The 26,438-nt window shown below is 52.0% G+C and overlaps 1 protein-coding gene and 1 long non-coding RNA gene across 3 annotated transcripts in view, besides 8 other annotated features; one reads left to right on the top strand and one right to left on the bottom strand.

Moving 5' to 3' along the window:
- Positions 1–26,438, bottom strand: part of SRRM3 (serine/arginine repetitive matrix 3) — an 85,392-nt gene that overhangs the window by 16,739 nt on the left and 42,215 nt on the right. For both annotated transcript variants that reach the window (NM_001291831.2, NM_001110199.3), the window contains exons 3-11: positions 22,260–22,361; positions 10,515–10,643; positions 10,352–10,432; positions 9,646–9,675; positions 9,135–9,197; positions 8,968–9,003; positions 5,734–5,784; positions 5,081–5,185; positions 3,114–3,291 (exon numbers count right to left, since the gene is read on the bottom strand). In NM_001291831.2, the coding sequence (NP_001278760.1) occupies positions 3,114–3,291; positions 5,081–5,185; positions 5,734–5,784; positions 8,968–9,003; positions 9,135–9,197; positions 9,646–9,675; positions 10,352–10,432; positions 10,515–10,643; positions 22,260–22,361 (775 nt within the window). The remainder of the gene's footprint in view (positions 1–3,113; positions 3,292–5,080; positions 5,186–5,733; positions 5,785–8,967; positions 9,004–9,134; positions 9,198–9,645; positions 9,676–10,351; positions 10,433–10,514; positions 10,644–22,259; positions 22,362–26,438) is intronic.
- Positions 3,074–3,203: a silencer, noted in NCBI's record as "silent region_18309". NCBI's record gives its function as "represses an Ori minimal core promoter by ATAC-STARR-seq in GM12878 lymphoblastoid cells {active_cell/tissue: GM12878}" and the evidence as "EXISTENCE:reporter gene assay evidence [ECO:0000049][PMID:35858748]".
- Positions 3,074–3,845: a biological region, named in NCBI's record as "H3K4me1 hESC enhancer GRCh37_chr7:75896022-75896767".
- Positions 3,100–3,845: an enhancer, noted in NCBI's record as "H3K4me1 hESC enhancer chr7:75896022-75896767 (GRCh37/hg19 assembly coordinates)". NCBI's record gives its function as "activates a minimal SCP1, AML or CMV promoter by ChIP-STARR-seq in naive H9 embryonic stem cells {active_cell/tissue: H9 hESC(naive)}" and the evidence as "EXISTENCE:reporter gene assay evidence [ECO:0000049][PMID:30033119]".
- Positions 8,588–9,111: an enhancer, noted in NCBI's record as "H3K4me1 hESC enhancer chr7:75890756-75891279 (GRCh37/hg19 assembly coordinates)". NCBI's record gives its function as "activates a minimal SCP1, AML or CMV promoter by ChIP-STARR-seq in naive H9 embryonic stem cells {active_cell/tissue: H9 hESC(naive)}" and the evidence as "EXISTENCE:reporter gene assay evidence [ECO:0000049][PMID:30033119]".
- Positions 10,000–10,079: a silencer, noted in NCBI's record as "silent region_18308". NCBI's record gives its function as "represses an Ori minimal core promoter by ATAC-STARR-seq in GM12878 lymphoblastoid cells {active_cell/tissue: GM12878}" and the evidence as "EXISTENCE:reporter gene assay evidence [ECO:0000049][PMID:35858748]".
- Positions 10,064–10,358: a silencer, noted in NCBI's record as "tiled region #1121; K562 Repressive non-DNase unmatched - State 4:PromP". NCBI's record gives its function as "represses a minimal TATA promoter and a strong SV40 promoter by Sharpr-MPRA in K562 cells {active_cell/tissue: K562}" and the evidence as "EXISTENCE:reporter gene assay evidence [ECO:0000049][PMID:27701403]".
- On the top strand, positions 10,953–20,055 carry LOC124901679 (uncharacterized). Its single transcript, XR_007060392.1, has 3 exons — positions 10,953–11,630; positions 12,560–12,683; positions 17,762–20,055. It is a non-coding gene; the product is annotated as an uncharacterized LOC124901679 (long non-coding RNA).
- Positions 15,585–15,783: a silencer, noted in NCBI's record as "fragment chr7:75884084-75884282 (GRCh37/hg19 assembly coordinates)". NCBI's record gives its function as "represses an EF-1alpha promoter that drives an FKBP-Casp9 reporter gene in an ReSE screen in HepG2 liver carcinoma cells {active_cell/tissue: HepG2}" and the evidence as "EXISTENCE:reporter gene assay evidence [ECO:0000049][PMID:32094911]".
- Positions 18,212–18,412: a silencer, noted in NCBI's record as "peak6611 fragment used in MPRA reporter construct". NCBI's record gives its function as "represses an SCP1 promoter by STARR-seq MPRAs in K562 erythroleukemia cells {active_cell/tissue: K562}" and the evidence as "EXISTENCE:reporter gene assay evidence [ECO:0000049][PMID:32103011]".

Raw genomic sequence — 26,438 nt, 5'->3', positions numbered from 1 at the left:
TGAGCCACCATGGCCAGCCGAATTTTTGTATTTTTAGTAGAGCTGGGGTTTCATCATGTTGGTCAGGCTGGTCTTGAGCTCCTGACCTCAGGTGATCCGCCCCCCTCAGCCTCCCAAAGTGCTAGGATTACAGGTGTGAGCCACTGTGCCCAGCCCAAGATGGAATTTTTTGCTTGCCTGAAGTGTCTCAGCTAAACTCTGCCAGGTGCCTTCAGATCTCTCCTTCCTCCACAGTTTCCTAAGGATCTGAGTCTGAGGTCTGACACTGATGGTCCTGAACAGCCTGTCCTGCTCCCTGTCCCCTGTGTCCAGCCCATTATACTAAACTGAACCGAGGAGTAGCAGCAAGCTCCAAGAAGCTCCCTGGGCAACCCAGGACAAGTCTCTTCCCCTCCCTGGGTCTCCCGCTTCTCTCCAGCTTCCTGGGGAACGCAGCAGCACAGGCTGCACCACTATAGTTAATTTAAAATCTGCGGCAGCTCCAGCCTGTGCCTGGAGTTGAAAGGAGGATTTGCTGCCGCTGCTGACTTGGCAGGAGCTGTTGGTGTGGGAGTGATTTTTTTTTTTAGAGTTATCTTCCCTTTTAAATTCAGATTACAAAGGAAAAAAAAGTATATAGAGATGTGTATATGATTAATGTTCACTTAAAATTCAAAAGCCATCTCTGCATTAAGAGGAAAGGTTCCCACAGTAACACACACAAAAAGAAAATTCTAGAACATAGAAGATAGAAAAAAAAAACCCAGAGAGATAGTTTGCATTTCTGTACATTAAAATAGGGAAAAAAAAAAAGAAAGGAAAAGGAAATAAAAACAAAACAACAGAAAAAGTTACATAAACTTGCCCACCCTCTTCCCTCACCAGCTAAACAAGAAATGGAATCACAGTATTACCACGTTTCAAATGGGAGGCTAAAAAACAAACAAAAACATAGACGGGGTTAAAAAATGTTGAGCTTTCCTTTTTTTCCATTTGTTTCTCTCTCTCTTTTTTTCTTTTCTTTTTTTTTTTAAAGGTATCGTCCAAGAATACCACCCCCAGTATTTTTTCCCGAAGACGGTTTCGTTCATGGTAAAGTCTGGGACCCCTCTCCCATCCCCCATCTCACTTTTCTGCATATGAGCAAGAACTAGCCTCTTTTGACTCCTCAGGGGTCTTTTTAAGGCAGAGAGGCAGGGATCTGAATGCAGGTTTGAGACCCGGGATGCTCTGAAGTCCCAGATCTCCCAGGGCCCCAAGGGTGAGGGATAGGATTTGGGGACCATGCTTGGTGAAAGGAGTCACAAAATGCCGTCTCCAAGAAAACTCCCAGGGCTGTGCCAAACTAGAGTCCCATGCTGGGAGGGAGACAAGATGTGGGTGCTTCAGAAGCTCCCGCCCCAAGGCTGGTGGCTGGGTCCCCTTCCCCGACTGCCCTATCCTGGGGATGCCTAGATGCTGTGGCCATTTTGTCTGCATTGGGGAGGGGGTGGAGGTGGGATCATTGCTCAGGACTCCAGGGCTGGAGAGAGGACCAGAGGTACGAAGGGACCCACTTCCAGCCCTGACTTCAGAGAACCCGCATCTCTGTGTCTCTTGGGAGGCCCCAGAAGGGTGGATGAGAAGCTGGCAAGAAGGTGTTTCGGGTCCTGTGCTCTTGGGACTCCATGCCCACAGGGGTGGGGGATGGTGGGTGCCCCTCTTGTGGGTTGTTAATCCTCTCCAGCCTCTGCCATGCTACCCTCAGCTACCTCTGCCTGCCCTCAACCCCCTCCCAAGACAGATCCGGGGACATCAGTGTCATCCTCCCTGCGCGGCCCAACCAAAACCCCCAGAGCCCAGGAGCCTGGTGCCTGGTCCAGGTGGGACAGTCTAGAGACAGGTAAATGTCCTTCAATAAAACTTAACCTTGAGACCAAGAGCCTTCAGTCAGCTGCCCTTGACTTTCCTCTCTGAGGCCGTGGGAGTAAAGGGTGTTTGAGAAAAGAAAGGGAGTGAAAGGAAACAGCCAAAAATCAAAATGAAACTGACCAACACGTACATGTTTGCTGCTGAGACCTGAGGTCTGGGGAGGGGCAGCTCTCCCACTCCCAGCTGAGGCTTTGGGGTTGGGTGGGGGGCAGTCTGCGGGTCTGGGAAGGAACCTGCAGGTCTCCCCACCCCAAGCCACCCCCCCACCCACCCCAGTGCCCCTGCCAGCACTGCAGCCCCCTCTCTCTGAGGGGTCTCAACTGTGTACTCTATAATCAACAGACCAGAAGGGGATGTGGACCTTCCCTGGGGTCTGGGAGAAGCCCCAACCCAGGCCCAGCCCATCCATCTGGGGACAGGCTGAGACGTCTCTCTCCTCTGCCAGCTCCCCCATTGCACCTGCCTGTAGGTCTTCGGGCATCTGTGCCCCTCTTGGAGGAAGGGTGGGGACAGTTTTGGGGGTGTTGGTGTGGGGTCTCTGAGGCACGCTGGCAGGTGCCTCAGGAGGGTGGCCGTGGGAAGAGGAGCCGGCAGGTTTGAGACACCAGTCCAAGTGTGGGCGGTGCCTGGAAAAGGGCAGAGTCTCCTCAGAGCAGGGACTTTAGAGGGCAGAGGGACTGAGATGGGGGAGGGGGCTGAGGGAGGGAGGGGCTGGGGAGAAGATTGAGGGAGGGGGAGGGGGGTGCTCAGAGGTGGGGCCAGGGCTTGGTGGGAAGAGGGAGACTCAGGGCCCAGGTGGTGCCCAGTGGGGGGTCCTGTCTCTCGAATCCTGCTCCTGCCTGGGACTCCTATCAATGTCCATGCCCCTCCCACCCTAATATGCCTGGGGAGGGCACGAGACCCTGATTCCTCCCCAGCCCTGTACCCAACTCAGTGCCCCGCGGTCAACCCCCCTCTGGCCTTCAGTTTGCCAAGCGCAAGGGTGGCCCAAGACCGCAGGCGCCCCTCACCCTGACACCAGGGCCAGGTGGGCGCAACGGCCTAGCACTCCCGGCGGCTCCCGAGCCAGGACGCCCAGCGGGGAGCCGAGGAGGGAGGAAGCGGCCGCCCCCGCCCCCGCCCCCATGCCACACTTATCGCCCCCTGCCCCGCTGGCGACCCGCCCGACCACGCACGGCGCAGCCCGCGGCGCGGGAACCCTCCGCAAAGCGAAGCGTACGTACATCGGGCGGGCTGTGCGCCGAGCCGGGGCGGCCCCCGTGCGCTCCGCTCCGCTGCCCGCTGCCGCCGTTCCGCTGGGGCGACCCCCATCCGCTGCCGCCCGACGGGGAAGGCGACCGGCTTCCGCTGGACCGCTGGCTGCCCGTCTTTCGCCCTTCGTCTCGGTGCTTGGGGCTCAGCCTGGGGTTAGGCGCCAGGAAGAATGGGGGAGTCGGCGTGGGACACCCGCTTTGCAAGCAGTTGCGCCTCCTCTTTCCCCCTTCCCCAGCACGGGGAAAGAGAGCAGCCCTCCACCTGCCTTTTCACCATGCTGGGAACCTTTCCACTTAGAGAGGGCTTGACCAGGGTGAGCCAGCGAGGCTGTGCCTCGATTTCCAATTCAGGCGGAGGCTTAGGGGCCTTAGGGCAGCTCTTCCTCAAGTTATCACTCCCCTGGTAAATTTCTCTTTTTAAAAATTATTATTAGGCTGGGCTTGGTGGCTCACGCCTGTAATCCCAGCACTTTGGGAGGCCGAGACAGGCGGATCGCTTGAGGTCAGGAATTCGAGACCAGGCTGTTCGAAATGGCGAAATCCCATCTCCGCTAAAAATACAAAAATTAGTCGGGCATGGTGGTGCACGCCTGTAATCTCAGCTACTCGGGTGGCTGAGGCTGGAGAATTGCTTGAATCCCGGAGGCGGAGGTTGTAGTGAGCCAAGATTGCACCACTGCTCTCCAGCCTGGGCAACACAGCAATACTCGTCTCAAAATATATATTATATATATAAATATATATAATAATATATATAATATATAAATATATTAAATATATATTAATATATAACATAATTAAATATAAATATATAAAATATATAATATATAAATGTTTATATATTATATATTTAATATATAAATATTTATATATTAAATATATAATATATAAATATTTATATATTAAATATATAAATATATAAAATATATAAATATTTATAATATATATAAATATTAAAATATATATCTATATTTATATATAGATATATAAATATATATAAATTAAAATATATAAATATATTAAATATATTATTTATATGAAAATATACATTAATATTTATATTGAAATATATATTAATATTTATATTAAAATATGTTAATATTTATATTAAATATATAAATATATAATATAATTAAATATAAATATATTAAATATATAAATATTTATATATATTAAATATATAAATATTTATATATATTAAATATATAAATATTTATATATATTAAATATATAAATAAGGCCGGGCGCGGTGGCTCACGCCTGTAATCCCAGCACTTTGGGAGGCCGAGGCGGGCGGATCACGAGGTCAGGAGATCGAGACCATCCCGGCTAAAACGGTGAAACCCCGTCTCTACTAAAAATACAAAAAATTAGCCGGGCGTAGTGGCGGGCGCCTGTAGTCCCAGCTACTTGGGAGGCTGAGGCAGGAGAATAGCGTGAACCCGGGAGGCGGAGCTTGCAGTGAGCCGAGATCCCGCCACTGCACTCCAGCCTGGGCGACAGAGCGAGACTCCGTCTCAAAAAAAAAAAAAAAAAAAAAAAAAAAATATATATATATATATATATATATATATATAAATATTTATTAAATATATAAAATATATAAATATTAAATATATAAATATATATAAATATTAAATATATATAATTATATATAATAAAAGTAATAATTATTATTATTACTTTTAATTAAAGAAGGAAGTCTATGTTGCCCAGGCTGGTCTCGAACTCCTGGCCTCAAGCGATCCTTCTGCCTTGGCCTCCCAAAGTGCTGAGACTACAGCAGTGAGCCACCACACCTGGCTACCCCTGATAAACTTCTACCCACCGATGAATTGACATTCTGTCCACCAGCCCTGCTCCCCAGCCCTTGGGGGTGTTTAATCTGCAACCCTCATCCCCCACCAGGAGAAAGCCTCCCAGAGGCCCAGGCCTACCTGCTGGGAGATCTGGAATCACTGTAGTGGGAGGAGAGGGAGGGGCTGTGGGAGCTGCCACTGCTATGGCGATGAGACCTCCGGCCTGGGGACTCTGTGTGAGGCCTGGCGTGGATGGGGGAAATCAGCCTGTACCTCAATTCTGCCCCCCGTGATCCCCCCAGCCCCCAAGTTGCCCAGCCTCCCACCAGGATCCCAGTGGAACCCTACTGAAAGCCAGTGTTCATCAGTCCCCTAAAGTCTCCTATAAAAGGTACATCAGCAGTGTTGGTGCTGGCTGCAGAGCCTATCTGGTCCATATGGGTCATCTGTGAGAATTAGTAAAAGGCCCCCTTTTCTCTAGACAACCCCAGCCTCCCAAGACCCCCCTCAGCCCTCAGCAGGTGATCCTGGGACTTGTGGGGTGGGAGGAAGGAGGGTGGGAGTCACGAGGACTGGGCTTGGGAGGACCCTGGATTGGAAGGCAAGAGGCCTGGGTTTTGGTTCAAGCTCTGACTCAGCAAGAGCCCTTGGCTTTCTTTCTAGATCTTAATTTTTCCATCTGGGCAAAATGAGCTACCTTTAATGGCCTGATTCTGTGATTCTAAAAGGCGTAGTTTGCTGGGGCGGGAGGGAGAACGAATGGGGGGCTGGAGAGTAGGGAGGGCGCTTACCTCTTCTTCTCTTTGTTCTTCTCTTTTCTTTTGCACTTGGAGCTTCGAGATCTGCAGAGAGCAGAGACCACAGTGATGGTGTGGCCCGGGGAGGGTGTGGCCTTCGTGCCCTGGAGCCTGGGTATACTCAGGTGTGGATCTGAGATTTGTTCCACTCTAGGGCCTAAGCCCCATGGCTGGCGGGGACTTTTCCATCCTACTCCACCCCTTTGTCCCTTTCACTCAGCCAAAGCTCCGGCCTTCCTCCTCCTGGAAGTCCTGGCCCGTGAACACCTCCCTGGGTCGCAAATGCTGCCCAGTCTGGGAGGGCCACAGAAGTGTGGCTGGCCCCAGATAAAGTGGGGTGCTATAGCCGGGCATGGTGGCTCACACCTTTAATCTCAGCACTTTGGGAGGCTGAGGCCAGTGGATCACTTGAAGTCAGGAGTTTGAGACCAGCCTGACCAACATGGAGAAACCCAGTCTCTACTAAAAATACAAAATTAGCCAGGCGTGGTGGTGTGTGCCTATAATCCCAGCTACTAGGGAGGCTGAGGCAAGAGAATCGCTTGAACCTGGGAGGCGGAGGTTGCGTAAGCTGAGATCGCGCCTTTGCACTCCAGCCTGGGCAATAAGAGTGAAACTCCGTCTCAGGAAAAAAAAAAAAAAAAAAAAGGCAGGGGTTGCTGTTTGCAGGTGTGGCAGCCTCAAGCCTTAGGTCTGGGCCAGATAGAAATGGTGATTTGCTCTTGTCTTTTGGTACTGGACTTGGGACATGCCCAATACTCATTCCCTTGAGTATTGGGGTGTGGCCTGATAATCATACCTCCTGTGCCCCCTTCCTCCGTGTGCTCCCAGACTGGCCCAGCCCTAGGCCAGCTCACCAGGGGTTTAGGAAAGAAATGCTTTCCCAAGGGCATGATGTCCCTGCTTTTTTTTTTTTTTTTTTTTTTTTTTTTGTCTTGAGACAGAGTCCCGCTCTGTTGCCCAGGCTGGTGTGCAGTGGCACAATCTCAGCTCACTGCAACCTCCACCTTGCAGGTTCAAGCAATTCTCATGCCTCAGCCTCCCAGGTAGCTGGGATTACAGTAGCCTGCCACCACGTCTGGCTATTTTTTGTTTGTTTGTTTGTTTGTTTTAGTAGAAACAGGATTTCACCATGTTGGCCAGGCTGGTCTCGAACTCCTGGCCTCAAGTGATCTGCCCACCTCAGCCCTCCAAAGTGCTGGGATTACAGATGTGAGCCACCGTGCCTGGCCAATCTCCCTGCTTTTGAATGACATCTCTGGATCCATCTGCAGGGCTGCCCCCTCCCAACTCCCACAGCTTCCTGTCACATCCCATCCAGCCCTCTGGGGCAAGCCCCCCAACCCAGCACCCTCTACCTTTGATGAAAGGCCTGAGAAGCTTCTGGTTAGCCCTCAAAGGTCTCACCCAACCCCAATCCTCAGCCCCATCCTCCCTGGTGCCACCAGATCCCTTCAGTCCTTCTGACCCCAAAACAAAGCCATACTAAGGAACACAGAAATGTGCTCCCACAGGAGCAGAGTGACTGCGGGGAAGGCCCGGAGGCTATGGGTTTGGGTGCTGGAGCCTGCTTTGGGCTTCAGTCTCCCCATTGGAAGTTGGTCTATTCCTAGTTCACTTTTAGGACCTGTCCAGGAAGGATGGGAGCTGGCCAGAGGGTGTGTGTAAGCTAATGGTGGCCACTTGGGGGCAGTAGGGACCCACACTGATCCATAGACACTGGGAGGCCAGGGGAAGATGAAAAATTGGGGACATTGGAGGGGCAGGATTAGGTGTTTATGTAGGCTCCTCCCCTACTTGGCAAATTCCCACTACAAAGAAGGAACTCCAGACTCTGCCCTTCCTCTGGGCTGCTGGAAGGGGGTCTGGCTCTGATGCCACCTCTGGAATGTGACTGCCCCACAACTTCCTTCCGAGCTCTCCTCTCCTCTCCTTTCCCTTTTCCCTTCTTTTCCTTTCCTTTTCTTTTCTTTCTTTCTTTCTTTCTTTTTTTTGAGATGGAGTCTTGCTCTGTCGCCCAGACTGGAGTGCAGTGGTGCGATCTCAGCTCCCTGTAATTTCCTCCTCCCAGTATCAAGCGATTCTCCTACCTCAGCCTCCCAAGTAGCTGGGATTACAGGCACCCGCCACCATGCCCAGATAATTTTTGTATTTTCAGTAGAGACTGACTATGTTGGCCAAGCTGGTCTCAAAGTCCTGACTTCAAATGATCCAGCCACCTCGGCCTCCCAAAGTGCTGGGATTACAGGCATGAGCCACCACACCCAGACTTTGTTTTTTTTTTTTTTTTTTTCTGAGACAGAGTCTCGCTGTGTCACCCAGGCTGGAGTGCTGTGCACTCCACTGCAATCTCTTGGCTCACTGCAACCTCCGCCACCCGGGTTCAAGTGATTCTCCTGCCTCAGCCTCTCGAGTAGCTGGGATTACAGGCGCTTGCCACCACACCCAGCTAATTTTCGTATTTTCAGTAGAGACAGGATTTCACCATGTTGTCCAGGCTGGTGTCAAACTCCTGGCCTCAAGCGATCCACCTGCCTCAGCCTCCCACAGTGCTGGGATTATAGGTGTGAGCCACCGTGCCTGGCTCAGGCTGTTTTCTGCTTTCTCAGCAACCCTCTTCTCCTGCACCACTCTGCCTCCACCTGGACTCCTGCCTTTCACTTCCTCTCCCCTCCCCCAGTCCACCCTGAACAAGCCACTGCCCTGCTCAGAGCTCCCCCACACTAACCCCCAGCCCTCCTGGGTGGAGGATGGCTCCATAACCTGGCAGTCAAACCTGTTGGGAGGCTAGCACCTGTCCCCGAGAAACTCTACCTCTAGCCACAGCTCCCCGACCCTGCCTCCTATCCATGGAGCCCTCCCAGCTCACAGAGGTCCTCCTGCCTCGCGAGCTGTTTCCCTGCAAATTCAGGGTCTCGGTGTTTCTGCTTGTCTAACTGGCACCTCCACAGACAGACACACCCCTTGGGCATTGGACCTGCCATGTTGTCTAGAAATTCTTGGGGTCACCACGTCATGGCTGATGCATGGGGCAGGCAAGGGTTGCAAACAGTTGGTTTTCATGCTCCTTCTCCACTGCCCTGTCCCCGCAGCCTGGCTGTGGGAAGGAACCCTGGAGCTGAAGGATGGAGCCCTGTGGGACCCTCAAAACCCCCTCCCATCATTGCGTCCTTTGGGCTTTGGTCCTTAAGGGACCACTGACCATGTCCTCTGCAAAGCGCCGCTCACCTGTGCCGTCTCTTCCTCCGGGACCCAGAATCAGACCTGTAGGGCGATAAAGGAGTTCTCTTGAGCCTGCCTGGGGTGGCCCAGGGGAGACCTATGGAGGGCCACAGCCCTGGCCCTGGGCCCCACGGGAGGAAGAGGAGGCCCCAGGGTGGGGGCAGCAAGGGTACCTGTCTCGGCGATGCTTCTTCACACTCTTCTTCTTCTTGCGGAGGGGTGAGGAGCTCCCACAGCTGTGGACACAGGGAGGTGGGCTCTAGTGAGCTGGGGTGGGGGGTGGGGGGCTGGAAATGGCTGGAGAGACCTGGGTGCTTGGGACATTGAAGCTGGAAAGGGAATTCCAGGCCAGGAAGCCCAAGGTCCCTTGTACAGAGTGACCCGAGGCCCCAAGGGTCGCCAAGGTCCCTCAGGGTAGTTGATGGCGCTGCCTATGTTGTCCCCACAATTGTGGGGACAACAATGTCCCCCCTGGCATTGTGGGCAAAGATAGTTTCAAACCCAGAAGTCAGAGGCTCCAACGGTGGGATTCACGGCCTCTGTAGGGGCAAAACTTGCACCTTGGCAGTGTCCAGGTGCAGGCCCTGAGGGTCCAGGCCTCCGGCCTCTGGGGGATGGCCTTGGAATCTCTCCCACCCACAGACATCCCCCGCCCTGGCCCCAGCCAGCTCTGTCCCCACTGACCTGCATTCGGACTCCAGTCTCCTCTTTTTGCTGAGGGCAGATGCCAGGAAGAAAGGACAGACGGATGGATGGGGTTAGTTGGGGCCCCAGACACTTGCCAGGGTCTCACGCAGGACAGGGGAGGGTGGACAGAGAGATTCGGGGATGGCAGATGAGGCCCCTCCTCCCCAGGGCCACTCGCACTAGTGTTGGTGGGCACGGGACCCCTGGGAGGGCAGAGGGGGACTGGGAGCAGGTGCTGGTAACACACGGGCCCGGTCAGTGAGTCTGGCTCTGGGGGATTCAGTGAGAGGCAGGTGCTAGAGAAGGGCTCAGTGAGGGGCGGATCCCAGATAAGGGGAGGGGCTCGATGAGGGGTGGGGCCTAGTGGGGAGAGGACCTCGATGAGGGGCGGGTCCTAGAGAAGGGGAGGGGCTCGGTGAGGGGCGGGCCCCAGAGAAGGGGAGGGGCTCCTTGGGGGGCGGAACCTAGCGAAGGGGAGGGGCTTGTCGAGGGGCGGGGCCTAGCGAGGGGAGGAGCTTGAGGCCTGGGGTGGGTTCAGTTACCCGGAGGGCACCTAGTCGGGGGACGGCACGGGGAGGGCGAGGGAGGGGCTCAGAGAGGGGCGGGGCTCACAAATGCTGCATGGTTGTGAGCCAGGGACGGGCATCCGGGGAGAGACCCCACCTCCTCCTCCCTTCCCGCTCCGGTCAGGCGCGGTTCTCACCGGCTTCTCCGGTGGCCGCCTTTCTTTTTCTTCTTTTTCTTGGGAGGGGGCGATGCCGAGCTGCTAGACCAATGCTTGGTCCTGGGGGAGAAGGGGCGGGGGTGGGGGCGGTGAGGGGGGGCAGCCCCGCGCGCCCCCCACCCCCGCCGCGGCGGCCGCTGACCTGTACCCGCGGTGGCCGCGGTAGCAGGAGGCCGGGCAGTCACAGTCCACTGGGCCGTCGTCATCGTCAAAGGGCGCGTACTCCAGGCCCGGCTCAGCGCCCTCGGTCAGCCGCGGGGTCTCCGCCACACTGCCGGCGACAGGGACGCTCACCACCAGTCTCGGGACGACTTTTCTTCACCCCTTTTCTCGGCGCAGGGGGCCTGACCTAGCCCCGCAAGTCTGCGGGCTGCTACCCGGCTGGGGGAGGGGCGAGGGGTAACTGCGGCCCCTGGCCTTACAGGGCTAGGCAGAGATTTGGGGAACCCAACGGGGCACATCCCCTACAGGTCCCCGACCTCACGGTACAATCTTTTGCAAAAAAGAAGGAGATAACCGAGCCCCTTATTTAGCCCGCACCCCTTCTGAGTTCTCACCATCTCAGTAAGCCCCCTCCTCTTTTTTTTTTTTTTAATTTTGGAGATAGGGTCTTGCTCTGTTGCTCAGGCTGGGTTGCAGCGGTGGGATCATAGCTCACTGCAGCCTTGAACTTCTGGGCCCAAGCGATCCTTCCTCCTCAGCCTCTTGAGTAGCTGGGACTACAGGCGTGGACCCCTACCCTGGCTAATTTGAAAAATTTTGCAGAGACGGGGTCTCACTATGTTGCTCAGGCTGGTTTCGAACTCCTGGCCTCAAGCGATCCTCCCGTTTGATCTCTCAAAGTGCTGGAATTCCAGGCATGAGCCACCCTGCAGTCGTGGGTGGGGTGTGTGTGGCTACTCCTTAGATGAGGCTCCTCTTCTTCACTGAATCCCCTCCATATCCTAGCCCCATTCATTGAAGCCCTCCCCCTCAGTGAACCCCCCATTTGATCCCTGTGCCCCTAACCCTACTGTCCTATTCTGGGAACCCCATCCCCACCCCTCCTTTCTCTCACTGAACCCTAATTTCTCTTTTCTTTTCTTTCTTTTTTTTTTCAGTCTCACTCCGTTGTCCTGGCTGGAGTGCAGGGGCCCGATCTCGCCTCACTGCAACCTCTGCCTGCTGCAGTCTCCTGCAATCTCACCTCACTGCAACCTCCGCTTCCTGGGTTCAAGTGATTCTCCTGCCTCAGCCTCCCGAGTAGCTGGGATTACAGGTGCCCGCTAATTTTTGTATTTTTAGTAGAGATGGGGTTTCTCCATGTTAGTCAGGCTGGTATGGAACTCCCGATCTCAGATGATCTGCCAGCTTTGGCCTCCCAAAGTGCTGGGATTACAGGCGTGAGCCACCGCGCACGGCGAACTCTAATTTCTTCCTTTTTTTTTTTTCTTTTTCTTTTTCTTTTTTTTTTTTTTTTTTTTGAGATGGAGTCTCACTCTGTCGACTAGGCTGGAGTGCAGTGGCATGATCTCAGCTCACTGCATCCTCCGCCTGCTGGGTTCAAGCAATTCTCCTGCCTCAGCCTCCCGAGTAGCTGGGACTACAGGCATGCACCACCACGCCCAGCTAATTTTTTGTATTTTTAGTAGAGACGGGGTTTCACCATGCTGGCCAGGCTGGTCTTGAACTCCTGACCTTGTGATCCACCCACCTTGGCCTCCCAACGTGCTGGGATTACAGGCGTGAGCCACCGCGCCCGGCAAACTCTAATTTCTTAAAGAGCCCCTTCCTCCTGGCCTATCTCCGCCCTCCCCGAGCCCTGGCTCAATGATGTGGGTCTTTCCTCACCTGGGTGTCCTAGTCCCTGAGCCCCCTCCCGCTGGCTGAGTGCCTCCCTGCCCCGCTTCCCCTCCTTTCCTCCAGCCCGGCCTCTGTCGCTGAAATATTCATAGCCTCTCCTCGCCCTCCCCTCTGCAGCCTCCAGGGGCCCCCCCTGCTCATCTCTGGCAGCAGGACTGTGCTCATCAATCAAGCCTGGTGGCAGAGGGTGGGGGCCTCCAATACTCCCTATCCATCTTACAGAACTCTCCTTTTCGCTCAGCAGGGACCAGACACCTCCTGTCCCTGCTCCCGCAGCCCCAGCCAGCCTCTGCCACAGATGTTGGCTCCCTACAGGCTCTTCTCAGAGCGCTTCTTTTTTTCTAGAGGTAGCTGGGCTGGAGGCAAGAGCATGAGATTTGAAGCTCCAGACAAGGGCTCATCCTGCACTGTCCTGAGCCGCCTTGTGACCTGGAGCCTGCCGTGTCCCTCTGTGAGCCTCTTCTCGAAGGTGAGAGTGATAACTCCATTCCAGGGCTGTTGGGAGAATTTGCTGAGGTCATAGGTGCTGTGCAGTTTATTTTTTATTTTTTATTTTATTTTTTGAGACAGGGTCTCACCCTGTCGCGAGGCTGGAGTGCAGTTGTGCCATCACAGCTCGCTGCAGCCTTGAACTCCTGGCCTCAAGCGATCCTCCCACTCCAGCCTCCAGAGTAGCTGGGACTACAGGAGCACACCACCACTCCCAACTAATTAAAAAAAACTTTTTTTGTAGAGATGGGGTCTCACTATGTTGCCCAGGCTGGTCTTGACCTCCTGGCCTCAACCCAGGAGGATTGCTCAAGAAATTATCTTGCCTTGGCCTCCCAAAGTACTAGGATTATAGGTGTGAGCCACCATGCCTGGCCTTCTTTTTTTTTTTTTTTTTTTTTTAATTGAACAAGCCTGGAAGTGACCCTCCAGAGACCTGTCTCTAGGGGGGTGGCCCCGACCTTCCATTTTTTATCCAAGCTGGCTCAGACAGTGCCCTCCCCCACCAAGATGGAGGCTTAGCCCTGGTTTCAGCAGAGCTCCCCTTACTTCTGGGTGCTGTCCACCTGGCTCACCCCTTCCCCTCCTACAGCAATAGGGAAAAGGGCTTGGATCGGCAGAGCATTAAGAACATGAGTTTTGGATTTGTCAGAGGCATGTGAACCAGAGCAACTCCATCTTGAATAGGAGCTGTATAAAATGAGGCTGAGACCTACTGGTCTGCATTCCCAGGAGGTTAGGCATTCTGAGTCGCAGGATGAGATAGGAGGTCAGCACAAAATACAGGTCATAAAGACCTCGCTGATAAAACAGGTTGCAGTAAAGAAGCCAGCCAAGGGCCTGGCGGGTGGCTCACGCCTGTAATCCCAGCACTTTGGGAGGCTGAGGCGGGCGGATCACCAGAGGTCGGGAGTTCAAGACCAGCCTGACCCAACATGGAGAAACCCTGTCTCTACTAAAAACACAAAATTAGCCAGGCGTGGTGGCGCACACCTGTAATCTTAGCTACTCGGGAGGCTGAGGCAGGAGAATCGCTTGAACCCAGGAGGCGGAGGTTGCAGTGAGCCGAGATCATGCCATTGCACTCTAGCCTGGGCAAAAAGGATGAAACTCCAAAAAAAAAAAAAAAGAAAAAGAAGCCGGCCAAAACCCACCAAAACCAAGATGGTGATGAGAGTGACATGGCAATGTCAGGAAGTTACCCTTTGTAGTCTAGAAAGGGGAGGCACGAATAATCCACCCCTTGTTTAGCATATCATCAAGAAATAACAATATAAATGGGCAACCAGCAGCCCTCGGGGCTGCTCTGTCTATGAAGTAGCCATTCTTTTTTTTTTTTAAACAGAGTCTTGCTCTTGTCGCCCAGGCTGGAGTGCAGTGGCGTGATCTCGGCTCACTGCAACCTCCGCCTCCAGGGTTCAAGCGATTCTCCTGCCTCATTCTCCCAAGTAGCTGGGATTATAGGCACCTGCCACCACGCCCGGCCAATTTTTGTATTTTTAGTAGAGACGGGGTTTCACCATGTTGGACAGGCTGGTCTCGAACTCCTGACCTCAGGTGATCTACCTGCCTCGGCCTCCCAAAGTGCTGGGATTACAGACATGAGCCACTGTGCCCTGCCTGAGTGGCCATTCTTTCGTTCCTTTACTCTCTTAATAAACTTGCTTTTGCTTTGCACTGTGGACTCCCTCTGAAGTCTTTCTTGAGTGAGATTCAAGAACCCTCTCTTGGGGTTTAGATCAAATCCCTTTCCTGTAACAGATTCACAGAGACAGGTTTGAATCCAGGCATGACTAAGTTCTCGGTCATATCTATACATCGAGGGAAAGAACAGACCACCTTTGAGGAAAGTAAAATGCTGTCTATGAGGCCTGGCCTGTGACTGTCATCCGGGGAGGGGTAGCCACCGTTAAACAGAGGGGCCGTTGCTGCTACTTACACACCAACATCTCTTCCGGGGAGAAAAGACGCTGCAACACAGAAAATGAAACAGAGGGAAGGGAGGCAGGCCACAGCTACAGGGTAAAAGACAGATTTTTTAGGGAACCCACTAATTGACTCTTTGAAGCCTGATTTTGTATTTTAAAAAATGTAACCAGGCCGGGTGTGATGGCTCATGCCTGTAATCCCAACACATTGGGAGGCCAAGGTGGGAGGATCCCTTGAGGCCAGGAATTTGAGACCAGCATAGGTCTCAACATAGTGAGACTCCTGTCTTTACAAAAATAAAAATAAAAAGCAGGGCACAGTGGCATGCACCTGTGGAGTCCCAGCTACCTGGGAGGCTGGGGCCAGAAGATGGCTTGAGCCCAGGAGTTTGAGGCTGCAGTGAGCTATGATGATGCCACTGCACTCCAGCTTGAGTGACACAGCGAGACCCCATCTTTAAGAAAAAATAGCTGGGCGTGGTGGCTCATGCCTATAATCCCAGCACTTTGGGAGGCGAAGGCGGGCGGATCACCTGAGGTCGGGAGTTCGAGACCAGCCTGACCAGCATGGAGAAACCCCGTCTCTACTAAAAATACAAAATTAGCTGGGTGTGGTGGCACATGCCTGTAATCCCAGCTTCTTGAGGGGCTGAGGCAGGAGAATCGCTTGAACCCAGGAGGCGGAGGTTGCAGTGAGCCAAGATCGCACCACTGCACTCCAGCCTGGGTGAAAGAGCTAGATTCCATCTCAAAAAAAAAAAAAAAAAAAGAAAGAAAGAAAGAAAGAAAGAAAAGGAAAAATAATGTTACCCAAATATGACAGGGGTAGCTAGCCTTGAGGCCATTCTCAAGAACTTCATTCAATTCCCAAACAAGTCCCGATTCCCAAGCTGGGTGATGCCTTGATGTCACACAGCACGTAGCGAGGTTTTTCTGGGGTGACAGAGGAGAGGCTCATGTCATCCCCCAGCTTGTACAGAGCCAAACACCCCCACATTCCTTTGTTTAAACTTCTCTTTTCTTTTCCATGCTCCTCTTCCTGAGGCCAGTGGCGTCCTGCCTCCTGTCCTTGTCCCTAAAATTCCCAGCACCCTCAGCTCATCAAGCCCCATCCTTCCAGGGCCCATTACCCCTACACAGGTCCTCAGCCGCAAAAGTGCCTGCCTGACACATAAAACATAGTCTTTAGCAAAACTTAAGCTCACATTGCGTATTGTGTGGGTGAGCTGGTAGGAGCAGGGAGCTTCAGTTGATACTGACACAAAAATGATGAAGGTTATTTACAAAATAAAATAGCCCAGGCTGGGTGCGGTGGCTCGTGCCTGTAATCCCAGCACTTTGGGAGGCTGAAGCAACTGGATCATTTGAAGTGAGGAGTTCGAGACAAGCCTTACCAACATGGTGAAACCCCATCTCTACTAAAAATACAAAATTAGCCAGGTATGGTAGGACATGCTTGTAATCCCAGCTACTCAGGAGGCTGAGGCAGGAGAATCACTTGATCCTGGGAGGCGGAGGTTGCAGTGAGCCAAGATCGTGCCGTTGCACTCCAGCCTGAGCAATAAGAGCGAAACTCCATCTCAAAACAGCCCAGTTCAGCCAGGCACAGTGGCCCATGCCTATCATCCCAGCAACCTGGGAGGCTTAAGTGGGAGTATCACTTGAGATCAGGAGTTTAAAACCAGCCTGGGCAAGAAAGCAAGACCCCCGTCTGTACAAAAAAAAAAAACCCAAAAAACAAAAAACATGTAGATTAGCTGGATGTGGTGGTGCATGCCTGTAGTCCTGGTGGGATGACTACTTGAGCCCAGGAGTTCAAGGCAGCAATGAGCTGTGATTGTGTCACTGCACTCCAGCCTGGGTGACAGTGAGACTCCATCTCAAAAATAAATAAATAAATAAATAAAGATGAGCACAGGGTAGAGGAGCAGACACAAGGTCTTGGAACCTCCTGATACAACCTGTCCTGAGAGTCCCAGGGATAAGCATGGACCTGGGCTGAGGCTTCCTTTACTGGCTTTGTGCTGTGTGGGAACTCCCAGGGTTAGAATCCTAGACTCTCCTATCCTGCTTCTCCTAGATGACACTGTCACTAAGAACAATGTCCTTTTTTTTTTTTTTTTTTTTTTTGAAACAGAGTTTCACTCTTGTTGCCCAGGCTGGCGGGATCTCGGCTCACTGCAACCTCCGTCTCCTGCCTCAGCCTCCCGAGAAGCTAGGATGACAGGCCTGTGCCAACACGCCCAGTTAATTTTGTATTTTTATTTTTATTTTTATTTTATTTTTTTAATTTTTTTGAGACGGAGTGTCGCTCTGTCACCCAGGCTGGAGTGCAGTGGCACGATCTCGGTTCACTGCAAGCTCCACCTCCCGGGTTCACGCCATTCTCCTGCCTCAGCTTCCCGAGTAGCGGAGACTACAGGTGCCCACCACCACGCCCAGCTAATTTTTTGTATTTTTAGTAGAGACGGGGTTTCACCGTGTTAGCCAGGATGGTCTCGAACTCCTGACCTCATGATCCACCTGCCTCAGCCTCCCAAAGTGCTAGGATTACAGGCTTGAGCCACCGTGCCCAGCCTAATTTTGTATTTTTAGTAGAAATGAGGTTTCTCCATGTTGGTCAGGCTGGTCTCAAACTCCCAAACTCAGGTGATCCACCCACCTCGGCCTCCCAAAGTGCTGGGATTACGGGCGTGAGCCACTGTGCCCGGCCAAGAACAGTGTTCTTTAATGTTATTTATGTATTTATTTGAGATGGAGTCTTGCTCTGTCACCCAGGCTAGAATGCAGTGGCATGATTTTGGCTCACTGCAACAACTTCCACCTCCTGGGTTCAAGCCATTCTTGTGCCTCAGCCTCCTGAGTAGCTGGGATTACAGGTGCCCCCCACCATGCCCGGCTAACTATTGTATTTTTAGTAGAGTCGGGGTTTCACCATGTTGGCCAGGCTGGTCTTGAACTCCTGACCTCAAGTGATCCACTCACATTGGCCTCCCAAAGTGCTGGGATTACAGGCGTGAGCCACCGCGCCTGGCCTGTTCTTTAATATTTAAAGAGTGCTTCATAGTTCACAATCCCATTCATAGCCCCTTAATGATTTACAGAAATTGCACCCCTTTCCATTTTGCAGATGAGAAAACTGAGGTGCAGAGAAGAAAAGGAACATTCCCTATGATGTCAAGACCTTTTAGTAAAGCATATACGTTGAGTCTAAGGTGAGAGGATCACTTGAGACTGGGAGTTTGAGAGCAGCCTGGGCAACATAGTAAGATCACATTTCTACAAATCAAATTACATGAGGCCAGGCCCGGTGGCTCACGCCTGTAATCTCAGCACTTTGGGCCAAGGTGGGCAGATCACTTGAGGTCAGGAGTTCGAGACCAGCCTGGCCAACATGGCAAAACCCCATCTCTACTAAAAATACAAAAATTCGCTGGGCATGGTGGCACATGCCTATAATCCCAGCTACTTGGGAGGCTGACGCAGGAGAATCACTTGAACCCGGGAAGCGTAGGTTACAGTGAGCAGAGATCATAGAGCTGCACTCCAGCCTGGATGACAGAGTGAGACTCTGTCTCAAAAACAAACAAGCAAACACCTATATAAGTTCATCTAGCAACTGGCTTTGAGAATTCATGTGCAAATGACACAGCCCTTGAATGCGCTGGCTGACCTTCCCTGCTGGAGATGTAAGCCAGCATGAGGTCTTCCAGCTCACTCATCCCCTTCCGACTCGATAGATACTGTTGTGGGTGTGTGCTCTCTGAGTCCTAAATTTGTTTAATGTTTTATGCTCTTAAATTTTCATGTTTTCTTTTTCAATTATTTTTGTTTTTATTTATTTTTTGAGACAGAGCCTTATTCTGTTGCCAAGGCTGTAGTGTGGTTGCGTGATCTTGGCTCAGTGCAAACTCCACCTCCTGGGTTCAAGAAATTTTCCCACCTCAGCTCCCAGCTCCAGAGTAGCTGGGATTGCAGGCGTGTGCCACCATGCTCAGCTAATTTTTTGTATTTTTAGTAGAGATGGGGGTTTCACCGTGTTGGCCAGGCTGGTCTTGAACTCCTGACCTCAAGTGATCCAACCGCCTCAGCCTCCCAAAATGCTGGGATTACAGGTATGAACCACAGCTCCCAGCATTTTTTTTTTTAAATAGAGATGGGGGTCTTGCTCTGTTGCCCAGGCTGGTCTGGAACTCCTGGGCTCAAGTGATCCTCCCACCTCAGCCTTCCAAAGTGCTGCTGGGGGCCGGGCGCGGTGGCTCACGCCTGTAATCCCAGCACTTTGGGAGGCCAAGGCAGGCGGATCACAAGGTCAGGAGATCGGGACCATCCTGGCTAACACCGTGAAACCCCGTCTCTACTGAAAATACAAAAAATTAGCCGGGCGTGGCAGCGTGCGCCTGTAGTCCCAGCTGTTGGGGAGGCTGAGGCAGGAGAATGGCGTGAACCCGGGAGGCGGAGCTTGCAGTGAGCCGAGATTGCGCCACTGCACTCCAGCCTGGGTGACAGAGCGAGACTCCGTCTCAAAAAAAAAAAAAAAAGTGCTGCTGGGATTACAGGTGTGATCCACCGTACCCAGCCTTAAATTCATGTTTGCTAACTAGTTTACTCCTGATCATGTCTGTGGAGTAGGCAGGGGAAGTTTTACCCCCTTGTGAAAACAAACTGAGCCCCACAGAGCTGATCAAAGTGGACCCAGACAGAGTCTGCTACAAAAGGACAAAGAGCATGTGGAAGTGGAACACAGCCCCACAGAGGACGGGCGTCGGGCTGACCGCCATGGGCAGGGCTCTGCCCTGGGTAGAGACTGCCGGCAGCACGCTCTTCCTCATGCCAGCACTTTCGCCAATTAAATGGTCCTGTTTCCCATTAGCCAGGAACACAATGGCCCACTGACAGATGAAAGGGCCCAGATGTGGGAGGAGGGCGGGGAGTCCAGGCAAAGGGTCCACCCTCTCTGCTCATCACTCAGCCAGGCTGCCAGGCCTGCCAGGGGCCCTGGGTGGGGGTAGTGATGATAGAAACAGAGATGAATCCAGTCTCGAGCTTTTTCCTTCACTTCTCAGACTGTGGGGCAACAATATGACACGGTGCATATTATGATAATTACTGACCCAGGTGCCAGGTACGATGAGCACTTTACATGTATTAGTCTTATTTATTTATTTATTTGATGGAGTCTTTCTTCGTCACCCAGGCTGGAGCCTGTCTCTGTTCCTGTTTTGCTCCTACTCTGGCCAGAGAGATGAGGATTAAGTGGGGTAAGGTGGGAAATACTTTACCCCTCACTACCCAGCAATACAGAAAGTCTGCAAGAAGGGTTTCCCCGTTTCCTATTGAGGTCTGTCTGTTCCTACAGTGCTGCCAGCCTTTACGATGACTAAGACTGGGTGTGGTGGCTCATGCCTGTAATCCCAGCACTTTGGGAGGCCGAGGCGGGTGGGTCACCTGAGGTCACGAGTTCGAGACCAGCCTGGCCAATGTGGCGAAACCCCATCTCTACTAAAAATACAAAAAAATTAGCGGGGCGTCATGGTGGGCGCCTGCAATCCCAGCTACTCAGGAGGCTGAGGCAGGAGAATTGCTTGAACCCGGGGGGCAGAGGTTGCAGTGAGCTGAGATCACACCACTGCACTCCAGCCTGAGTGATAAGAGCAAAACTCTGTCTCAAACAAAACAAAACAAAACAAAACAAAAAAACAAAAATTAGCTGGGCCATGGTGGCATGCACCTGTAGTCCCAGCTACTCAGGAGGCTGAGGCAGGAGAATAGCTTGAACCTGGGAGGCAGAGGTTGCAGTGACCCGAGAGCACGCCACTGCACTCCAGCCTGGGCAACAGAGCAAAACCCTGTGTCAAAAAATAAATAAAAATAAATAAATAAATAAATAAATAAAGATGATTGCAACAGGAGAATCACTCAGAAGGTGCTGCTGGGATAGCGGAACAGCAAATGAATGAATATAATTAACTCCATTTTTGTTTAAGAGACCTTTACCCATTCCTGCATGTAGGCTAAGATTTATTATTATTATTATTTTATTATTATTTTTTGAAACAGAATCTCACTCTGTTCTGAGGCGGGTTCAAGTGATTCTCCCGCCTCAGCTTCCCAAGTAGCTGAGATTACAGGCATGTACCACATAGCCCAGCTAATTTTACTTCTAGCCAGAGAAGCATCAGATGTTGGTGCTGGGCGGGGAAACTGAGGGTGAACAAGGGGAAGGCTCATCTGAGTGGATTCAGCAACGCTCCCTGAGCACACGGTGCCTGCCAGGCATGGAGCTCGGCCAGCAATGGCTGGACAATCCCAGGCACAGGCTGTTCCCACCCTCATAATGCAGCCTCCTCCAGTGTTTGTATGGTTTTGAGTGGTTCACAGTTCGCCTCTGATCTGAGACAATATTTGCCTTGCTATAACTTGCCCGTTTGATCCAAGGCCCACCCAGAGGCCCACGGCAAACCGGTGTGCCTCCTATCCTGTGACAGGCGGCAGAGGCGTGACCTCAGCAAAGCCATACACCCTTTTTTTTTTTTTTGAGACAGAGTCTCGCTCTGTCACCCAGGCTGGAGTGCAGTGGCGCGGCTCACTGCAACCTCCGCCTTCCAGGTTCAAGTGATTCTCGTGTCTCAGCTCCCTGAGTAGCTGGGATTACAGGCCCAGGCCACCATGCCTGGCTAATTTTTGTGTATTTTGTAGAGATTGAGTTTCACCATGTTGCTCAGGGTGGTCTCGAACTCCTGAGCTCAAGCAATCCTCCCACCTTGGCCTCCCAAAGTACTAGGATTACAGGTGTGAGCCACCATGCCCAGTCTTACACCCTCTTTAGCCACCAAGCCATTGGTCATGGTAGCAGTGGGATTTGGTGTGTGGGCTCTTACATCCCAGAGTGTGTGCTTACTCTGAATTTTATTTGATTTTATTCTATTTTATTTTTTGAGATGGAATCTCGCTCTGTTGACCAGGCTGGAGTACAGTGGCAGGATCTCGGCTCACTGCAACCTCTGCCTTCCGGGTTCAAGCGATTCTCCTGCCTCAGCCTCCCAAGTAGCTGGGATTACAGGCATGTGCCACTATGCCCGGATAACTTTTCTATTTTTAGTAGAGACAGGGTTTCGACGTGTTGGCCAAGGCTGGTCTCGAACTCCTGACCTCAAGCGATCTGCCTGACTTGGCCTCCCGAAGTGCTGGGATTACAGGCTTGAGCCACTGTACCCTGCCCAAATTTCATTTCTATAGGAGGGAATCATCAGGGCTTGCCTGGGGTCACTTTGTCGGCCAGAGACAATGTTGGGTTCAGGGCATATCTGAGGTCTTCCGATTTGCAGCTCAGAATCCCCTGAGCTGAGATCTGGGCTGCCTTCCCCATGCCTCCCACTGCTGAGCCATAGGTAGGACCCAGGGAGGGTAGGAGGAGGCCCTTGGTGATGTCCAGATGTCCGTGGGCCAGGCCAGCATTTCCAGTGGGCAGAGACCATGCTCTCCTCTCCTTCTCCTTATCTTCTTCCTCTCCACCCCCTCACCTGAGCCCCAACCAGACCAAGCCACCTGGACAGGCCCCTTTAGTACCCAGCTGCTGCCTGAGCCTGCACCCCCTCTCCCTCATCCCCACACAGGTAAGCACTCACATGTGGCCCCCAGGCCGGTCCTCCCTGGTGAGCACTCCCTCCTTCTCCATCAGCATCTGCCGGAATGTCCCCACTTTCTGCCGAATCTCCTCCTCCGAATACCTGCAGGGGCACAGAGAGGGTGAAGGGGCTGGTCTCCCAGATTTGGTTCCCTCTTTCCTGCCCCGCACTCAGCCCAGCCCCGCCAACCCCTGGGTCACAAGTGCACACTCCGGCTTGCAATAACCTGTCCAAGGTCACAGATCAAGCCAGGTCTTCAGCACTGAGGAAGCTCAAGTTCACTGTACACAAGCCTGGCCAGGCGCAGTGGCTCTCGCCTGTAATCCCAGCACTTTGGGTGTCCGAGGCAGGCAGATCACCTGAGCTCAGGAGTGCGAAACCAGCCTGGCCAACATGGCGAAACCCTGTCTCTACTAAAAATACAAAAATTAGCCGGATGTGGTGGTGGGCGCCTGCAATCCCCGCTACTCAGGAGGCTGAGGTAGGAGAATCACCTGAACCTGGGAGGCAGAGGTTGCAGTAGGCCAAGATCACGCCACTGCACACCAGCCTAGGTGACCCAGAGACTCCATCTCAAAAAACAAACAACAGCAACAAAACATTGTACACCAGCCCAATCAACCAACCAAATAACCAACAAACAGACAAAAGAAAAACTTGTTCCCAGAGGTGGGGAGAGACGACCCCCTCGCCCCTCAGGTGAGGCTGAGCCCCTCCTCCGTACCCTCCTCCACCCACCAGGGCAGGCCTCCCTCCCACATCCAGACTGCAGTCGCTCTTTCGAGAATTTTAGGGGAAGAGTGAGAATTCTGGCTTTGAAACATACACAGCCTTTTCTGCCTTCCTGGCCTCCATGACATCCCATCCTCATATAGCCATGGGAGGTCGTCAAAGCACCCCCATTTCTGCAAGGGTAAGGCTGCCAAGTGGCTTGTAGGGGGGTTATCGGGGGGCAAGGGGTAGTTTCATTGCTTCTTTCTGCTGCTGGCTTGGGGTAGGGGGTGGCTGATATCTGGGCCTCAAATGGAAGCCCCTGACGTCTCTACTCCCCTCCCTCTCCCACCCTAAGCCCAGTCTCAGTTTAGGGACCAAAGTCCGGTTATCTACTCCTTATCCCTGCTCCCACTGCTGGGGTCAGTGGTCATTCTCTCTCACTGCTCCTCTGTGACAGCCACTACCTGGCCTCCCAGTTCCTCTGGAGTCTCTCCCTCCAGCCTGTGTCCACACTGCCCCTGGAGGTCTTTGATCATGCAGCCCTGGCCCCGTGCCTGGCATACAGCAGGTGTCCAGCAGCTGTTACTGAAGGGATCCTCTGGCAACTTCGAAAGGCAGGTCACATTCCCATTTCACAGATGTAGAAGCTAAGGCAAAGTGAATTGACTTGCCCAACCTCATAGAGCTGGGAAATGGGAGGTGCCAGGATTCAAAACAGGACTGCTGCACTCTTGGGGCTCTCCTTTTCAGCACTGGCCCCCATGGCTCAGCTAAGAGGGTTGACCTAGAAAAACATGAGAGCAGGGGATGCTCAGAGGTGGTGGTCACACTTGAGGCCTCTTTGTCCAGTAGCCAGATGTCATCCCGGGGTCCCCAGCTTCTCCCAGCAAGATGCCCTGGGCATGGAGGGACACTCCCTAGGCCTCCGAGTTGGTTCAACTCAACATTTCTATACACTTGTGTACACCTATACAACTTTTCTTTTCTCTCTTTTTTTTAATTTTTATTTTTTGAGACGGAGTTTCGTTCTGTCGCCTGGCCTGGAGTGCAGTGGTGCGATCTCAGCTCACTGCAACCTCCACCTCCCGGGTTCAAGTGATTCTCCTGCCTCAGCCACCCAAATAGCTGGGATTACAGGAGCCTGCCACCATGCCTGGCTAATTTTTGTATTTTTAGTAGAGATGGGGTTTCACTATGTTGGCCAGGCTGGTCATGAACTCCTGACCTCAGATGATCTGCCCAGCTCAGCCTCCCAAAGTGCTGGGATTACAGGCGTGAGACAACGCACCCGGCCACTATACAACTTTTCTAGCCTTAGCTTCTACATCTGTGAAATGGGAACACAACCTGCCTTTCAAGATTGTCAGAGGATTCATGGAGGTGATGTCATTATAGCACTTTGCACAGTGCCTGGCTTAGAGTAGGTGCCCAATAAATGGTAATGACTAAGGCTTATTTGTCCCAAACCTTTCTCTCTGCTCTCCCTGGGCTGCAGGTCGTTGTCTAGGACAGAGAACATGGTGAGGGGGAGGTAGGGATGATTAATGGATACAAAAAATAGAATGAATAAGACCTACTGGCCAGGTGCAGTGGCTCACATCTGTAATCCCAGCACTTTGGGAGGCTGAGGTGGGCAGATCACCTGAGGTCAGGAGTTCGAGACCAGCCTGGCCAACATGGTGAAACCCTGTCTGTACCAAAAATATAAAAAAATTAGCTGAGTGTGGTGGTGCACACCTGTAATCCCAGCTACCCACGAGGCCGAGGCAGGAGAATCGCTTGAACCCGGGAGGTGGAGATTGTGGTGAGCTGAGATTGCGCCCCTGCACTCCAGCCTGGGTGACAGAGCGAGACTCCGTCTCAAAAAACAACAAAACAAAACAAACAAACAAACAAAAAACCAACAAGAAAACCTACTGTTTGATAGCCCAACAGGGTGACTACAGTGAATAATTGTATATTTTTGAATAACTTAATGTAATTGGATTATTTGTAACTCAAAGGATAAATGCTTGAGGGGATGGATACTATATTCTCCATGATGTGCTTATTTCACATTGCATGCCTGTATCAAAGCATCTCATGTACCCTATAAATATGTATAACTACTATGTATATTAAATTTTTAAAAAATTATTTTAAAAAATTTTTGGACCCAGCGAAGTTTTAAAAAATAATTTTAAAAAAATTTAAAAAGAAGACATGGTGGCAGCATGGGTCCAGCCCTCCCCACTCAGCCATCCACGAAAATGGTATGTTTTGTTTTTTCCTTTCAGAGATCCCATCTCTCTACTCCCTGCTTCCCTCTGCTCCTTCAACAAATATTTGCAGGACAGCAATTTGACAATTATCTTCAAAAGCCTTTAAAAAAAATGAACACATGCTTTGACTCATACATTAACTTTCAGGTCTACCCTGTGGAAATAATCATGGCAAAGATTTGACTCCTTGGATGTTTACAGTAAGATGGATGCCTCCCCCCATCGCAGGTTCAATGCTAGCGTTTGCATGTCCATAGCAACCCATACATCCCAACTCCTGGCAGGTGGTTCAGGCTCCAGTAATTATCTGTTGGCTGGTCTGTATCCAATGCTGGCCTGGAGTTCCCTGAGGGCAGGGGCTTTGTCTGGTTCCCAGAGGCAGTCCCAGCACCTGGCCCCATGCCTGCCACATTGTGGCATCCAAAAATGTGTGCTAAATGAGTGACTGGTGATAGAGAGGCATGGAGAGTTTGAAGACTGGATTTTCCTTTTGAAAAAATGGCTCTGGTGAATTCATGGCTGGAGAAGAGAGAACTGGAGGCAGAAAGCTGGTGTTGCGCTACCATAGGGGTTCAGGAGGAGACAGTGACTCCAGAGCAGGGAGAGAGGTCTTGAGGATGAAGGGCGAGAAATGGACAAAAAGCCCTCTAGGAGGGAGATGGCTTGGGGACCAATCGGTTGAGTCAGAGGGATGGGACTTGGGGACCAATTGAATGAGTCAGGAGGTCTGGTTGGGTAAGAAGCATCACCTACTTCTTCTTCTTCTTCAACTTTTTTTTTTTTTTTTTTTTGAGATGGAGTCTTGCTCTGTCGCCCAGGCTAGAGTGCAGTGGCACAATCTCGGCTCACTGCAACCTCTGCCTCCCAGGTTCAAGCAATTCTCCTCCTTAGCTTCCCGGGTAGCTGGGACTACAGGCATCCGCCACCATGCCCAGCTAATTTTTGTAGTTTTAGTAGAGATGGGGTTTCACCATGTTGGCCAGGCTGGTCTCAAACTCCTGACCTCAGATGATCCACCCACCTCGGCCTCCCAAAGTGCTGGGATTACAGGCATGTTCCACTGTGCCTGGTCACCACCTACTTCTTAAGCAGGTGTCCCCTGACCCCCAGCTAGGGTCGGAGTCTGTGTGGGTTCAGCCTGCTGTGTCGCTCACCGTGGGGAGGGCTGGGTCCTGGCCTGGTTAGGGGTGGGGGGCTTTTCTTC

This window comes from Homo sapiens, chromosome 7 (assembly GCF_000001405.40).
Source record: "Homo sapiens chromosome 7, GRCh38.p14 Primary Assembly".
In the NCBI taxonomy this organism is placed as follows: Eukaryota; Metazoa; Chordata; class Mammalia; order Primates; family Hominidae; genus Homo; species Homo sapiens.
The sequence above is the reverse complement of the archived record's forward strand: the minus strand, read 5'-3'. Positions and strand labels throughout refer to the sequence as shown.